At 39.2% G+C, this 16291-nt stretch overlaps 1 protein-coding gene and 2 pseudogenes across 7 annotated transcripts in view, besides 1 other annotated feature; 2 read left to right on the plus strand and 1 right to left on the minus strand.

The window, feature by feature from the left end:
* The window catches only part of ARHGEF6 (Rac/Cdc42 guanine nucleotide exchange factor 6), a 115383-nt gene extending 110465 nt beyond the window's left edge, over positions 1 to 4918 (minus strand). For all 7 annotated transcript variants that reach the window (NM_001440993.1, NM_001440996.1, NM_004840.3 and 4 more), the window contains exons 1-2: positions 4704 to 4918; positions 3400 to 3483 (exon numbers count right to left, since the gene is read on the minus strand). In NM_001440993.1, coding sequence (NP_001427922.1) covers positions 3400 to 3483; positions 4704 to 4868 — 249 coding nt within the window. In that variant the 5' untranslated portion in view covers positions 4869 to 4918. The remainder of the gene's footprint in view (positions 1 to 3399; positions 3484 to 4703) is intronic.
* Positions 3354 to 3573: an enhancer, noted in NCBI's record as "active region_29996". NCBI's record gives its function as "activates an Ori minimal core promoter by ATAC-STARR-seq in GM12878 lymphoblastoid cells {active_cell/tissue: GM12878}" and the evidence as "EXISTENCE:reporter gene assay evidence [ECO:0000049][PMID:35858748]".
* On the plus strand, positions 12270 to 12778 carry LOC100422685 (solute carrier family 25 member 6 pseudogene; annotated as a pseudogene).
* RPL7P56 (ribosomal protein L7 pseudogene 56) lies at positions 15023 to 15837 on the plus strand (annotated as a pseudogene).

Here is a 16291-nt window from a genome sequence, read left to right on the forward strand (position 1 = left end):
AAAACACTGCTGAAAGAAATCATAGATGACACAAACAAATGGAAACACATCCCATGCTCATGGATGGGTAGAATCAATATTGTGAAAAAGACCATACTGCTAAAAACAATCTACAAATTCAACGCAATTCCCATCAAAATACCATAATAATTCTTGACAGAACTAGAAAAAACAATCCTAAAATTCATATGAAACCCAAAAAGAACACACATAGCCAAAGCAAGATTAAACAAAAAGAACAAATCTAGAGGCATCACATTACCCGACTTCAAACTATACTACAAGCCTGTAGTTACCAAAATAGCATGGTAGTGGTATAAAAATAGGCACATAAACCAATGACACAGAATAGAGAACCCAGAAATAAAGCCCAATACTTACAGCCAACTGGTCTTTGACAAAGCAAACAAAAACATAAACTGGGGAAAGGACACCCTATTCAACAAATGGTGCTGGGATATTTGGCAAGCCACATGTAGGAGAATGAACCTGGATCCTCATCTCTCACCGCATCTCTCATCTCTCACCTCTCTACAAAAATCAACTCAAGATGGACCAAGGACTTAAATCTAAGACCTGAAATCATAAAAATTCTAGAAGACAACATTGGAAAAACTCTTCTAGGTATTGGCTTTGGCAAAGAGTTCATGACCAAGAACTCAAAAACAAAGGCAACAAAAACAAAGATAAATAGATGGGACCTAATTAAACTAAAAAATTTCTGCACAGCAAAATAAATAATCAGCAGAGTAAACAGACAACTCACAATGTGGGAGAAAATATTCCCAAACTATGCATCTGACAAAGGTCTAATATCCAGAATCGACAAGGAACTCAAACAAATCAGCAAAAATAAATAAATAGATAAATAAATAAATAAATAAATAAATAAATAAATAAATAAAGTAGAAATAAAAATAAACAAATAGGCCGGGTGCGGTGGCTCACGCCTGTAATCCCAGCACTTTGGGAGACCCAGGCGGGCGGATCACCTGAGGTCAGGAGTTTGAGACCAGCCTGGCCAACATAGTGAAACCCTGTCTCTACTAACAACACAAAAATTAGCCAGGCATGGTGGCGGGCGCCTGTATTCCCAGCTACTCAGGAGGCTGAGGCAGGAGAATCGCTGGAACCAGGGAGGTAGAGGTTGCAGTGAGCCAAGATCACACCACTGCATTCCAGCTTGGGCAACAGAGTGAGACTCAGTCTCAAAAAACAAAACAAAACAAAAACAAAAAACAAATAATCCCATCAAAAAGTGGGCTAAGGACATGAATAGACAATTCTCAAAGAACATATACAAATGGCCAAGAAACATATGAAAAAATGCTCAACATCACTAAGCACTGGAAATGCAAATCAAACCACAATGAGATATCACCTCACTCCTGCAGAAATGGCCACAATTAAAAAAAAAACAAAAAATATTAGATGTTGGCATGAATGTGGTGAAAAGGAAACACTTCTACACTGCTGGTGGGAATGTAAACTAGTACAACCACTATGGAAAACCTTAAGTATGGAGATTCCTTAAAGAAGTAAAAGTAGAACTACCATTTGATCCAGTAATCCTACTACTGAGTATCTACCCAGAGGAAAAGAAGTCACTATATGAAAAGGACACTTGCACACACATATTTATAGTAGCACAATTTGCAATTGCAAAGTTATGGACCCAGCCTAAATGCCCATCAGCCAAAGAGTGGATAAAGAAAATGTAATATACATATATATAATATGTATACATACACACACACACACACACACACACACCATGGAATACTACTCAGCCATAAGAAGGAACAAAATAATGGCATTCACGACAACCTGGGTGGAGGTGGAGACCATTATTCTAAGGGAAGTAACTCAGGAATGGAAAACCAAACATCATATGTTCTCACTTATAAGGGGGAGCTAAGCTATGAGGATGCAAAGGCATAGGAATGATGTAATGGGCTCTGGGGACTCAGGGGGAAGGGTGGGAGTAGGGTGAGGGATAAAAGACTCTACATTGGGTACAGTGTACACTGCTCAAGTGATGGATGCACCAAAATCTCAGAAATCACCACTGAATAACTTATCCATGTAACCAAACACCACCTACCTGTTCCTCCCAAACTATTGAAATAATATTTTTTAAAAAGGTCACACGAGTCCTATGAATTCGGTGCCACTATTATTCCCATTTTGTAGGTAGGAAGACTGAGGCCTAGAGTCATAGTTAAGTAACATGCCCAAGGTCACAAAGCTGCTAGTAAGAGAGAACTGAGATTTGAACCCAAAAAGTTTAGCACCACAGTCCATGCTTAAACCACAACTATTTGTCCACGGATAATATGACTAATACTAGTCTATTAATATAGAGTACTTCTTCTGTCCCAGGCCCTATGCTAAGGACTCTACATAAATTATCTCATAGATCTTACAAGGTTGGAGCTCTTGGCCCTAAATTATTATGCAGTATCTTATTTGATTCTTTTTTTTTTTTTCGAGACAAGGTCTCTTTCTGTCATTCAGGCTGGAGTGCAGTGGTGCAATCACAGCTCACTGCAACCTCCACCACCTCTTGGGTTCAAGCGATCCTCCCACCTCAGCCTCCCGAGTAGCTGGGACTACAGGCACAAGCCACCACGCCTGCCTAATTTTTGTATTTTTTGTAGAGTCACCATTTCACCATACTGTCCAGGCTGGTCTCGAACTCCTGGGCTATAGCAATCCTTCTGCCTTGGCCTAGGATTAAAGGCATGAGCCATCATGCCCGGCCTTATTTGATTCTTAAAGCAATCCCATGAGTTGGCTATTAGCATGTCCGTTTTACAGATAAAAATACTGAAGCACAGAGAAGTTAAGCAACTTGATGCTCGTGTGGAAGTATCACCTCCCTTTCAGTAACACTTCCTATACACACTGTAGGGATCCATATAATATAAAATAATGCCACAAAATTTACTATACAATTTCTACCTCAAAGCCAAGTTCTCTCAGCTTTTCAAGGCCTCTGTTCTAAAGTGTTAATGGGAAGGAGTAACAATGGCCTTTCCTCTTTTCTCAACTTGGGAGGATTACAGTGACCCTCTCCAACAGTCAGTGGCCCACTTTTGGTTCCCCTTAGTAGGAGAACACACCCACACAAGCTCTGTCACTGGAAGCCTGTTTACAGGGCTTGGATGCTGTATATAAAAGGCATTATTGTGTGAGTTTTTATTTTGTTTTGTTTTGCTTGGAACTGGTTTCTGGAAAAGACAGACTAGCAATCCATTACTGGGGACCACCAGTCTGCTACCTCTGTTTAACTCAGTGGCCAATGACAGTGAAAATAAACAAGTACTCTTACTACCAATCTTGATTAGCAGAGCAAAAAAACGATGACAACAGGGAAGGCACCCGGGGTAGGCTTACTTCCACTTGGAGGGTTGCACATCCTTTCAGGAAGTCATTGATGTTGTTGATGCAGTCAGCTTCAGTTTGGGGATCCAGACAAAACTAGAGGAACACAGTGAAATGTCACTTGGAGATTGTCATCCCATGCCAAGCAAAGTATACTCATCATTTGCTGATAACTAGAGAAAGCAGGCCTCTTAAGGTGTGGGGCAACACTGCTGTCAATCCAGGAAGAGAAATAACCACTGAAGGAAGTGATGCAAAAATCTAAACGGTCGATCTTTGTTTCAAATGTCACCAAACCTTTAGTGGCAAGCCATGTCTACTTACAAGCTTTCTCTCATGCCTTCTGTTCCAGTGTGCTGATGGCAAATTAGGGAGACCAAGACAGTTTTTTGAGCTTAGTTCTTGCTTTCAAGAAAGGAAGCAATCCCTGGTACCTCTCTCTCCTCCTTCCCCCTGATAATTTAATAAAATTCTATTTCCCCTCTACATTTGACCACACTTCTTTACATTTTATCACTATTTAATCACTCTTTCTCAAGTTTAAGAAATTATAAGTAAATTTATTTGCTCAATAAAAATACAAACTGGCTCATGAAGGCAAAAGTGCTATGCTCACAGTCCATGATGACCTTAAGAAAGTAAATGTAAAATTGTACCTTTAAGCTTACTTAAAGTGCCTACTTTAGAAATTATCTATTCTCGTGATCGTGGATTTCCAGCTATTAAAAATCTTGAATTGTTTTAAAGAGAGTAAAGTTAGTTTCACTTTGAACGCACATTGCATTCGAAACATATATCTGGTTTCTATTGCTTTTACAAACTTTATGTGACATTTTGAATTATTTTTTTCCTAGTTGCTATATAGTCTCTCCTTCAATGGATTTTTCTAAAAGGAAATCTACACTGATTTTAATCAAACTGCCAATAAACACCACCAAGATCTGTTATAAATCATTCTATTTTTCCACAGACTCATAAGTACCCCAAGTTCAAAACATGTCCTCGGTACACAAGGAGATGTAACATGCATCTCCATGATAGAGCAAGCTTGTGATATGAGTGTTCTCCTTGTCCCTTGTTGCCAGTGGTGTCACAGGTTTTCCCTATACTACAATTTGGGGGCCAATTACTAAAGAATAACGTTTCATTTTCTTACATTTTCAAACTACAAAAACAGTAAGAAAGAATGTCTAACTCTTAGAAAAATATTAAAGTAGGAGATTCCCATGGCCTGGGAAATAGAAAAATCTCAAGAGTTACATGATTGCTGCTCTCTGGTGATAAGCAATCCCAAAGAGACTGCAAATTTCCCTTACCTTTTCCACAGAGCCAGGCATGAGTCTGTTGATCAGTTTGCACAGAACTACCCCATTTTTCAGCGAGGACTTTAAAAACTCCTCCGGATCACAGATGGTCTTTTTAGGGGACTCTAAAACTCCCAAAGATATAAGCCATGTCACGATTTGTTCTTCTGGATTCATTACTGAGGACGGTACACTCCAAACAGCACTCTGGGGCAGCTGCAAGGACTAAGCCACATCCGCGATTGCATCTGCTGTTGTCTTCCTTTTTATGAGTTCTCTTCGGGTGCTTGCAGAGCAAAGGTTTAAAGCAACTTTTCTTAAACAACAGCGGAACCCACTCAAAATATGGGATTTTAAAACCACAGAGATCACGGTCCAAGATGTGGAAACAGATAAGAATTAATTTAACAATCCTGGATAACGCTGGTTTTTCCTTTTCAAAACCTGCAAAACAAATTCGTTAGGATAAAAAAAAAGAAGAAACGCACATGCACACACGCATACACACACACGCACACAGAGTGCAAGAAGTTATAAGGGAAGAAAGTGAAAAGGATGCTGGGGAGGGAGGAGAGACAAGCAAGCAAGTGCTTTGGGAAACAGAGGTGAGCCAGCACTTCAGGGGACCTTGGAAATGAGACACTCATGGGCCAGTCTGGGAAAACACTGTCAATAAATAGTCTAGCCCCAGTGAAAATCTGGCTTCTGTTAGGAGGACGATGCCAACTGGCTCTTAGGTCAGACAGATCTGAGCCTCATGGGGAGATGTGCTGGCACAACAGGGCTCAAAGAAGGTAGACAGAAAATTCTTCCAAGAAATAGCCGGATGTCCTCATAGTATCTCCCAGAGATGGTGTGTCACGATCATTCCTTGCAAAACACGTTGAGTTGCATGGTGACAACGTGCCAAGCAAACGAAGATTATGCCTGCTGTCAGCCATCACTGTGTATAAGCAGAAGCTAGAAGAATGGCATTTTACTTTGCAGCCAAAAAGCTATGTTTAGGGAAATAGGCTAAGGATAACATCTGACATCCTGTTTACTTGCATTCTTTAGCAATTCTTTTTCTGGACCTGGTTCCACTACATAATCCAGCTGCAGTACCCTTAGCAAAGGCTCAGACTCAGTCACATAAGTGGGTAAAATACACTTGAAAAAATAGAATGTTTGAGAACAAAAGAGCACTTGTCCTCTGTCTACACTACAATATGGAAGATTCTTATTTTCCCAACAACAACAACAACAAAAAAACACTTTGCACTTAAAATACTGCTCTGAAAAAAAAACTGTCTATAACAAGAGATCTTCATCATTCTCAAACATTTTCAGAACCACTTGAAATAGGCATACTATTGGGAAATTTATGATAAGGCCAACTTTAATAGTATAACCCTATGTTGGCAAATGTGTGGCACTTACCATGATTACCTCTCCTCGTGCATGGGAGACATCAGATCATGTATAGCTCTTTCCTACTAAGCCTCAGAATTCTTTTCAACACAGCTTCAGGCATCTACTACCAAAGAATCAGCTTAGATAACCCTACTAAACATTTTCAAAGCTGCCCTTTCTTGCTCTGTCAGGACACTTGTCACACTTTACTATTATCACTTGTTGATCTGATGATCTGACTCCTCCACAAGAATGTAAACTTCCTAAACTCGGGGTCTTGTTTTTTTTTATTTAACACTGTGTTACCAGCAGACTGCCAGGTATACACAGTAGATGTTAAAAAATGCTGAATGAATAAATGAATGTATTCAGATGGTGTCCCTGATATAGACAGTAACTGATTATAGCAAGGATTTTTTGTTTGTTGGTTGGTTTAAATGGCTTAAAACAAACATTTTTTCTTGTTAATGATTTTTACCATTTTATTAAGCTGTAATTGACACATAAGGAACTGCATATATATGATTTAATGAATTTTGACATATACATACATCTTTGATACAATCACACAAATGCAATCCAGATAAGCCTTTCCATCACCCCCAAAATTGTCCTCGTGCCCTTTCAATTCTTTCTTTCCTCTTTGCCTCCAAATGCCAGGCAACCACCAATCTATTTTCAGTGTCTATAGATTAGTTTGCATTTTCAAGAATCTTATATAAATGGAAGTACACAGTATGGTACTATCTTTTTTCTGGCTTCTTAACTCAACATCATCATTTTCATACTCATTCATGTTATTGTGTCTGTCCATAGTTCTATAACAAGGTTTGCTTGATGTACTTGTGACTTAAGCAAAATAAGTATAATCAATCAAAAGTTTTCATTGACGTTGACCCATGGCCAAATCTATGTAATGGAAATAAAAACAGAATACATTTGTTGATAAATAAAATTCCCAAATCTGACGAACTTAAACACATTTTTATATGTCATCTGAACAGTTTTCACAACTGCTCATCAAAATTTTACTCTACAGACAAACAAAATCTGGCAGTATTATTGAGGTATCACTTACATCTTCTGATGAAGAACAAAGCCTGAGTAAGTTTTGTGAACCCAGCCTCCTCCAAAACAGTCTTGAGTTCACCAAGGTCATCTGGATAAAACTCTGCCTCATTTTGGACACTCACTATAGCAAATATTACTATGAGTAATAAAGTATATCAGAATGGCAAGGCCACTGCCTCAAGGCAAAAGAACCAGTTCTATTTGTATAAAGATTGGAAGTTACAGTTGGTGTGGTAAAATGTCAACAAAGCAAGGAATTCCAGGGCAGTGGCAAGCATATAGGTGAAATGGGTACCCATGAAACCCAGGCTGGTTAGGGACTCAAATGAAGCTAGAAAGGAGCTGATGAACTGAGGGAATAGGGGAAGAGGGGGAATTCAAAGACTGGGGGTCACAGCAACACAAAGAGCAGGCTTCACACAAGAGCATGAGAAAAAAAAGCAAAGATCTCTCACCCTACCTCAGATCCTCAGTACCACACCCTCTGGGCCACTGAACCTGCCTCTTCAAGGGCTTTCCACCTCCATCCTCTCATCCTAATGAACTCTCTAACAGGGCACATTTGGGTTGATTTTCCAAAAACACCTCTAGTGTTAATACCCCTGTTCAAAAACCCTCAAAGGCTCTCTATTGCCTAAAGCAGGAATTGACAAAAAACAATGTTCATATGATCATCTCCTGTGAGGCATAAAGGAGAAAGGAAGGTGAGAGTGGAACTTAAGCTAAAATAGGTAACATTTCATGAAAAATCAAAAGATCTTCAGGAAATAAGGCAAATGTGAACATTTGTTAAGACTGAATGCTGGGTACACTGGTACCTGTTTTACTATTTAGTTTTGTGTGTTTAAAATGTTACTAACCGATTCTCTTTCATTTCAAATCTACTAAGGCACTTACTAAAAAAGAATATTTGGGAGCTCTCTTCCCAGATACTCCAGTTCAGAAGATCTGCAGTGGGAAAAAGGAATTTGTGTTATCAAAGTATCCCACTTGATTCTGATGCAGATAGACCAAGGTCACACTTAGAGAAATGAGTTTATTGGTCTCTAACCTTCTACACCACTCTAATTTCTGCCAACACTTGGGTCATTTCAATATCCACAAGAACAACAATCCAACATCAAGACCTCTCAGTTCCTTGAACTTCTCAACCTGTAATCAATTTATTACCTCTCATTTCCCCTTTATGCCTATTCTGTGAAATGGACCTGGGACCTTGAAATATTTCTGACTTTGCCAGCTGGCATGATACAAAGTTTTATCAGTAGGCAGTGGTGGAGAGACATTGCAGGAAGAAGGGGTTTTACTTCCTGTTTTCTGTGCGCTCACTCCACAAGCTCCTGCTGAGCTCCCAGCTTTCCTATTGCCCACCTTCTGCAGCACTGGTTTTCCCAACAAACAGTAGGTAGCAACCTCCCCAGGCACTACCCTTGAGTGTTTAGGCAGCAAAGAATCTCTGATGAGACAGACACCTTCCATGTGAACCAGCACCGTAGAGGGGTATATTTCAGCAAGTTCCAGAGAATGTACATCCAACAAGTTCCACCAACTCAGCACCAGAGCAACTTCTCCAATAAGGCCTGGATCTCGACCGTGGGTGGAGAGGAGGGTTATCACAGCTCTAGAGGTATCGGCCATTACATATTATTTTTATATTGTCTGCTATTTATATCTGCTATCCCATACTTTTTAGAGTTTCCTTTATTTATTACTAACCAATTCTTCAACACTCCAATCCCCTGTTATTGTTAATTCTTTATGTTAAACTCTTCTTGTTAAAATTACTATGTAGTAGGCTGGGCACGGTGGTTCACACCTGTAATCCCAGTACTTTGGGAGGCCAAGGTGGGCAAATCACCTGAGGTCAGGAGTTTGAGACCAGTCTGGCCAACATGGTGAAACCCAGTCTCTAATAAAAATACAAAAATTAGCCAGGCATGGTGGCGGGCATCTGTAATCCCAGCTACTCTGGAGGCTGAGGCAGGAGAATCGCTTGAACCTGGGAGTCAGAGTTTGCAGTGAGCTGAGATCGTGCCATTGCACTCCAGCCTGGGCGACAAGAGCCAGACTCCATCTCAAGAAAAAAAAAAAAATACTATGTAGTGTCTATGTTCTGATTGGACACCAACTGATACACCTTGTTATCTTAAATGTATACTTCCTCTCCACTTTAGCTAACCTCTTGGAAGGTTACACCTTGTACTTTTTTATCACACAAATTTCTCTGTCTCCTAAGTCATGAATTCCAACATTAGTTTTTTTTTTTTTTTTTTTTTTCGAGACAGAGTCTCGCTCTGTCACCCAGGCTGGAGTGCAGTGGCGCCATCTTGGCTCACTGCAACCTCCACCTCCCAGGTTCAAGCGATTCTCCTGCCCCAGCCTCCTGAGCAGCTGGGACCACAGGCGCGCACCACCAGGCCTGGCCAATTTTTTTTGCCTTTTTGGTAGAGACGGGGTTTCACCGTGTTGGTCAAGCTGGTCTCGAACTCCTGACTTTGTGATCCACCCGACTCAGCCTCCCAAAGTGCTGGGATCACAGGCATGAGCCACTGTGCCCGACCCAACATTATATTTTCTAAACAACCTACCATCTTTCCAGCTTGCTTGTTACTCCCACTACAATTCCTTGACCTCATAGGTATCTGCAAATCTTTTTTTTTCTAAAATGATTATACAAATTTACATTCCCACAAGCAGGGTATGATTTTCCATTGCTCCATGTCATAGGTAAGACTTGATATTTCAGACTTAAAATTTTGTTATTTCATGGGTATGAAATTTATATTTCTATGATTACTAATGAGGTTGAGCATTTAATATGCTTATTGGCCATATATGTTTCCTCTTCTGTGAGATACTCCTTCCTACTGCCCATTTTTCTATTGGGTTGTTTGTCTTTTTGTTATTGGTTTGTGAAAGTTTGTTATATATTATAGATACGAAATTTATGTCATTTATGTGTGTTTGCAAATATCTTCTTATATCTTTGTTTTTCATTTTATGTGTATTTTAAAGAACAGAGGGTCTTGATTTTTAAAAATAAAATACTTTATCTCACTGTTGCGTAAAATAAATGTAGAATTTGGGTTTCCAAGCCTAATATGCAGCTTCGTAATCATCAGAGACCCAGGATTCTACTCTCCTGCCATAATTAGCTTGTCACCTCATAGTTCAGAATGACTATTTATGTAAACTTGGCTTAGGCAATGGTTTCTTAGATATAACACCAACAAAACAAGCAACAGAAGGAAAAAAATTGATAAATTGGTCTTCACTAAAATTAAAATTTTTGTGCTTCAAAGGTGTATTAATCCATTCTCATGCTGCTAATAAAGACATATCCAACACTGAGTAACTTATAAAGGAAAGGTTTAATTGCCTCACAGTTCAGCATGGTTGGGGAGGCCTCAGGAAACTGACAATCGTGGCAGAAGGGGAAGCGAACATGTCCTTCTTCATATGGTGGCAGCAAGGAGAAGTGCCAAACAAAAGGGTGAAAAGCCCCTTATAAAACCATCAGATCTCTTGAGAACTCACTCACTATCACGAGAACACAGCACGGGAGTAACCGACCCCATGATTCAGTTACCTCCCACCAGGTCCCTCCCATGATATGTGGGGATTATGAGAACTACAATTCAAGATGAGATTTGGGTGGGGACACAGCCAAACCATATCAAAAGGACACCATCAAGAAAGCGAAAAGACAACTCACAGAATGGGAGGAAAATATTTGCAAATCAAATATCTGATAAGGAAATTGTATCTAGAATATATAACGAACTCATAACTAAATAATAAAAAGACAAATAAGTATAATGGATAAAAATTGAGTAGACAATTCTTGGTTTTTTTTTTTTTTTTCTGAGACGGAGTCTCACTCTGTCTCCCAGGCTGGAGTGCAGTGGCGCTATCTCTGCTCACTGCAAGCTCCACCTCCATTCTCCTGCCTCAGCCTCCCGAGTAGCTGGGACTACAGGCACCCACCACCACACCCGGCTAATTTTTTTTTTTTTTTTGTATTTTTAGTAGAGATGGAGTTTCACCATGTTAGCCAGGATAGTCTTGATCTCCTGACCTTGTGATCCGCCCGCCTCGGCCTGAGTAAACATTTCTACAAAGAAGAGGTACAAATGGCCAATAAGCATGTGGAAAGATGCTCAACATCATTAGCAATCAGAGAAATGCAAATCAAAACCACAATGGGATTCCATTTCATACCCATTAGGATGGCAATAATAAAAAAGACAGACAATAACTAGTGTTGGCAAGAATGTGGAGAAACTGAAATCCTCATACAATGCTAGTGAGAGTGTAAAGTGATGGGGCTGCTGTGGAAAACAGTTTTGCAGTTCCTCAAAATGTTAAACATAGTTACCATATGGCCCAGTTATTCCACTCCAAGGGAAATGAAAACATATATCCACGCAAAAACTTATATACAAGTACTCACAGCAGCATTATTCATAATAGCAAAAATTGAAAACAACTCGAATGTCCATCACCTGATAAATTGATAAATAAAATGTTATAATGGAATATTAGTCATAAAAAATTAATGAAGTACTGATACATGCTACATCTTGAACGAACCTTGAAAACATTATGCTACATGAAGGAAGCCAGACACAAAAGACAATATATTGTATGATTTCACTTATACGAAATATTCAGAATAGACAAACCCCTAAAGACATAAAGTAGAACAGCAGTTGCCTAGGGCTGGGGTGAGTGTTGAGAGGAAATGATAAGTTATCACTCATGGGTATGAGGGTTTTAAGGGGGAAGGGGAGCAATAACAAGAATGTTCTAAAATTGATTTGGTGATGGTTGGACAATTCTATGAATATACGTAAAGCCATTGAATTGTACACTTTAAATAATGTACAATAGTTTTTCAATAGTTAAATGGTTAAACAAACTGTGGTACATGCATATCACGGCATACTACTCAGGACTAAAAAGGAATAAACTATTGATATATGCAACAACTCAGATGGATCACAAGGGAATTATGCTGAGTAAAAAAAGCCAGTCTCAAAAAGTTATATGCTGTATGACTTCATTTATGTAATATTCTTGAAATGAAAGATCCCCAGGGGTCTCACAATGCCAGAGGTACAGTGTGTGTGTAAAAATATTGCCTCTGACAAACAGTACAAAGGCATAGAGGATTATATAGTCTGTTTTCCCAAGGAGAAGTGAATACTCTTCTTCTGGAGGGGCAGCTTGGGTTCTGGAGGTATTTTGCTGACAATCTGGCCTCTGGTGGTACATCAGGAGTCATTTTCAGCTTTTTCTACTCCTTAGGTTTTGCAAGAACCCACTGGGCAACGAATATTGGGAAACCTGTCAAGGGAAAAAAATTCAAAGGCATAGAAGACTGTGTGTAAAATCACTAAATTGGATGGCCAGTGTGTTCTCTTCCCTACTCCATACTGCGATGGGGTAGGTGATGATGCAGTCTGGTCACAAAGAACTGACATCACATATAACGGAAACTTCATATATTGTGGGGTGAAGATTTTAAAGATGAATGTGGAAAAGCCTTTAACAAAGATGCATAGTCCAATGTTCTCAGGGGCATTGGTGGAATGCTCATTCTGTATGACAAACTGAAGAAACCATCTAAGTGCAATCTAACTAGAAATGAGAACCAAGAGAATCATGAGAATATGTACCATACTTATTATTTTCAACCACTGAGAAATTTCCATTGTCTTTTTATCCAGGCCAGATCATGTCTGTAGACATGTCTGTAGAAAGATACTGAGAAGGAGACCCGCTGTGACCACATTTGATCATTGGAACTGATTATTCTGTATATTGATCATGGTCGGAAGTAGCAACCATCATTATAGGTCTACAGAGGACAGATCTCAAGCTAAGCAGATCTAGAAACCACTTAGTTTAAATGTTTCTTATAGTACCATCAAGTTTTGTTTCAGTATTTTTTTAAAGCAGTCCCATTTGTACTAAACCACCACATACTATTTTTGCACAGTTGAATACTTGCAATATTGCTCTATGTTGGGCATTCTGCCATAAAATAATAAATACGCAAAATACTCTTTTTTTTAAATCAAATATCAATGGAGCATTGACTTAAATTATAATGCACCTATCAAATCAAATACTTAAGCAGCTTCTAGAAAGAATGATATAAATCATGTACTGACATGGAAAGATATCCAAAATATGCTAAGTTTAAAAAGCAAATTGCAAAATAGCACATATGGTCTGATCCCCTTTGTAAAAATAGATGCTTAATTGTACTTATTTAAAAAAACACGATGGTCAGGCACAGCGGCTCACGCCCGTAATCCCAGCTACTGGGGAGGCTGAGGCAGGAGAATCTCTTGACCCCGGGAGGCGGAAGTTGCAGTAAGTCAAAACCAGTCCAGGCGACAGAGTGAGACCCTGTCTCAAAAAACAAAAGGACTAGACACGCAGCTCTTTTTACTGAATATTCATTAAATGTTTCCTCAACTTCAGATGCAGACGGTTAAATTGATCATACTACTCAGTTTATCATACATATAAAAACTCTCCTCCCATTTTTTTCCTTCATTCACAAACACTATTCCCCTCACTGATGCCATTCTAATATGCATAATAAATGTCATTAAATATCCATGTTCTCTCACACTGTATGTAATGCGCTTTTCTGTGCAGAAAAGAGGTTCAGGTTGTCCATTGCACAAGAGCCTTACAAAGCAGTGCTATTCACGATCACAGATATCTTAATATCTGTGATTTTTTTTTTTTTTTTACAATTCAAAGACTCTAAGTTTAAGAACTCAGGGATTTCAGATTGGTGATTTCAATATGACCATACACGACCAATTCAACATCCTGTTTTCTCAGTTCTTTGAGGAAAAGCGAGTTTGGTGAGTATCAGGAGCTGTTTTTGGCATGTCATAACAATTGAAAAGGCTATTTGTCATCCAAGTACAGGTTCTCCTTAAAGCATTGAAAGAAGTTAGAAATTATTTGACAAAAACTGAACAGTACTATTTAAGAAAAATTTATTAATAATGCTAAACGAATTGTATGGTCTCTTAAAATTGACACCAACTTCTCCAGTATAGAAACACTAGAAAAAGGCAAAATACAATTCATTTCAACTGTATATCTGAGCCCATATATGATCTATATAACCCCACAGAGCCAATCTATGATCAATTTCAAATTCAACTTTTTAAAATATTATATAAATTCCTTATAAATTCTGGATATTAGACTTTTGACAGGTGCATAGTTTGCAAATATGTTCTCCCATTCTGTAGGTTGTCTGTTTACCCTGTTGATAGTTTCTTTTGCTGTGCAGAGGTTCTTTAGTTTAATTAGATCTCACTTATGAATTTTTGTTTTTGTTGCAATTACTTTTGAAGTCTTCACCATGAAATTTTTCCCAGGGCCTATGTTGAGAATGGTATTCTGTTGGGTACTATCTTCATTACCTGGGGCAATAATCTGTATACCAAACCCCTGTGACATGCAATTTACCCATGTAACAAACCTACCCATGCACTCCTGAACCTATTATCAAAATAAAAGTTGGAAAAAGAAAAAAATCGTTCCTATCACGTCGGGGTCAATGGGCATTTTGGCCAGTCGCGGTGTCTCACGCCTGTAATCCCAGCACTTTGGGAGGCCAAGGCAGGCAGATCACCTGAGGTCAGGAGTTCGAGACCAGACTGGCCAACATGGTGAAACTCCGTCTCTATTAGAAATACAAAACTTATCTGGGCATGGTGGCCCACGCCTGTAATCCCAGCTACTCGGGAGGCTGAGGCAGAGGTTGCAGAGCAAGGCTCTGTCTCAAAAGAAAAAAAAATCATTGTATAAAATATCATATTTAGCTCTTTTCTGGCTGAAACCATACAGGGTGTCAAAGAGAAGAAGTTTCCTGCTGTTCCAGAAACCCTTAAGAAAAAGTGGAGGAATTTCGCAGAGCCCGAGAGAGAAGTTTGCCCAAAAGATGCTTTGAAAGGCAAGGAGGAAGCTTTTGTAGGAAAAAAATGAAGCACTATCACAAGGAATATAGACAAATGTACAGAGCTGAGAGTAAAATAGCTAGGATGGCAAGAAAAGCTGGCAACTTTCTATGTACCCACAAACCCAAATTGGCATTTGTCATCAGGATCAGAGGTAGCAATGCTCTGAGCCCAAAGGTCCGAAAGGTGTTGCAGCTTCTTCGCCTTCGTCAAATCTTCAATGGAACCTTTGCAAAGCTCAACAAGGATTCAATTAACATGCTGATGATTGTAAAACCATATATTGCATGGGGGTACCCAAAGCTGAAGTCAGTAAATGAGCTAATCTACAAGCGTGGTTATGGCAAAATCAATGAGAAGTGAGTTGCCTTGAGAGATAACACTTTGATTGCTTGATCTCTTGGTAAATACAGTATCATCTGCAGGGAGGATCTTGTTAATGAGATCTATACTGTTGGAAAACACTTCAAAGAAACAAATAACTTCATGTGGCCCTTCAAATTATCCTCTCCAAGAGGTGGGATGAAGAAAAAGACCACCCATTTTGTAGAAGGTGGAGATGCTGGCAACAGGGAGGACCAGATCAACAGCCTTCTTAGAAGAATGAACTAAGGTGTCTACTGTGATTATTTTTCTAATCTGGTCAGTTAATAAACAGTACGTGCTTTCAAATTGAAATAGATGAGTAAATAAAATATCATATTTAAAGGAAAAATTTATAATAAAGATTATAATGGCTGTATTCATTTCCTATGGCTGCTATAACAAGTTACCACAAATTTAGTGGCTTAAAACAACAGAAATGTATTTGCTCACAGTCTCCTGGAAGCCAGAAGTCTGAAATCAAGCTGTCAGTAGGGCCATGCTTCCTTTAGAGATTTCAGGAGAGAATCCATTCCTTGCTTCTTCCAGCTTCTGGTGGCTGCTGGCATTCCTCGGCTTGCAGCCACAATCTGTCTGTCTTCACAGTACCTCCTCTGTGTGTCTGTAGTCTCCCCCCTGCCTCTTTCCTATAAAGACACTTGTGATGGCATTATGTCCCACTTGGACAATCCAGGATAACCTCCTAAGCTCAAGATCCTCAACTTGGGCTGGGCATGGTGCTTCATGCTTGTAATCCTAGCACTTTGGGAGGTG

This window comes from Homo sapiens, chromosome X (genome assembly GCF_000001405.40).
Source record: "Homo sapiens chromosome X, GRCh38.p14 Primary Assembly".
In the NCBI taxonomy this organism is placed as follows: domain Eukaryota; kingdom Metazoa; phylum Chordata; class Mammalia; order Primates; family Hominidae; genus Homo; species Homo sapiens.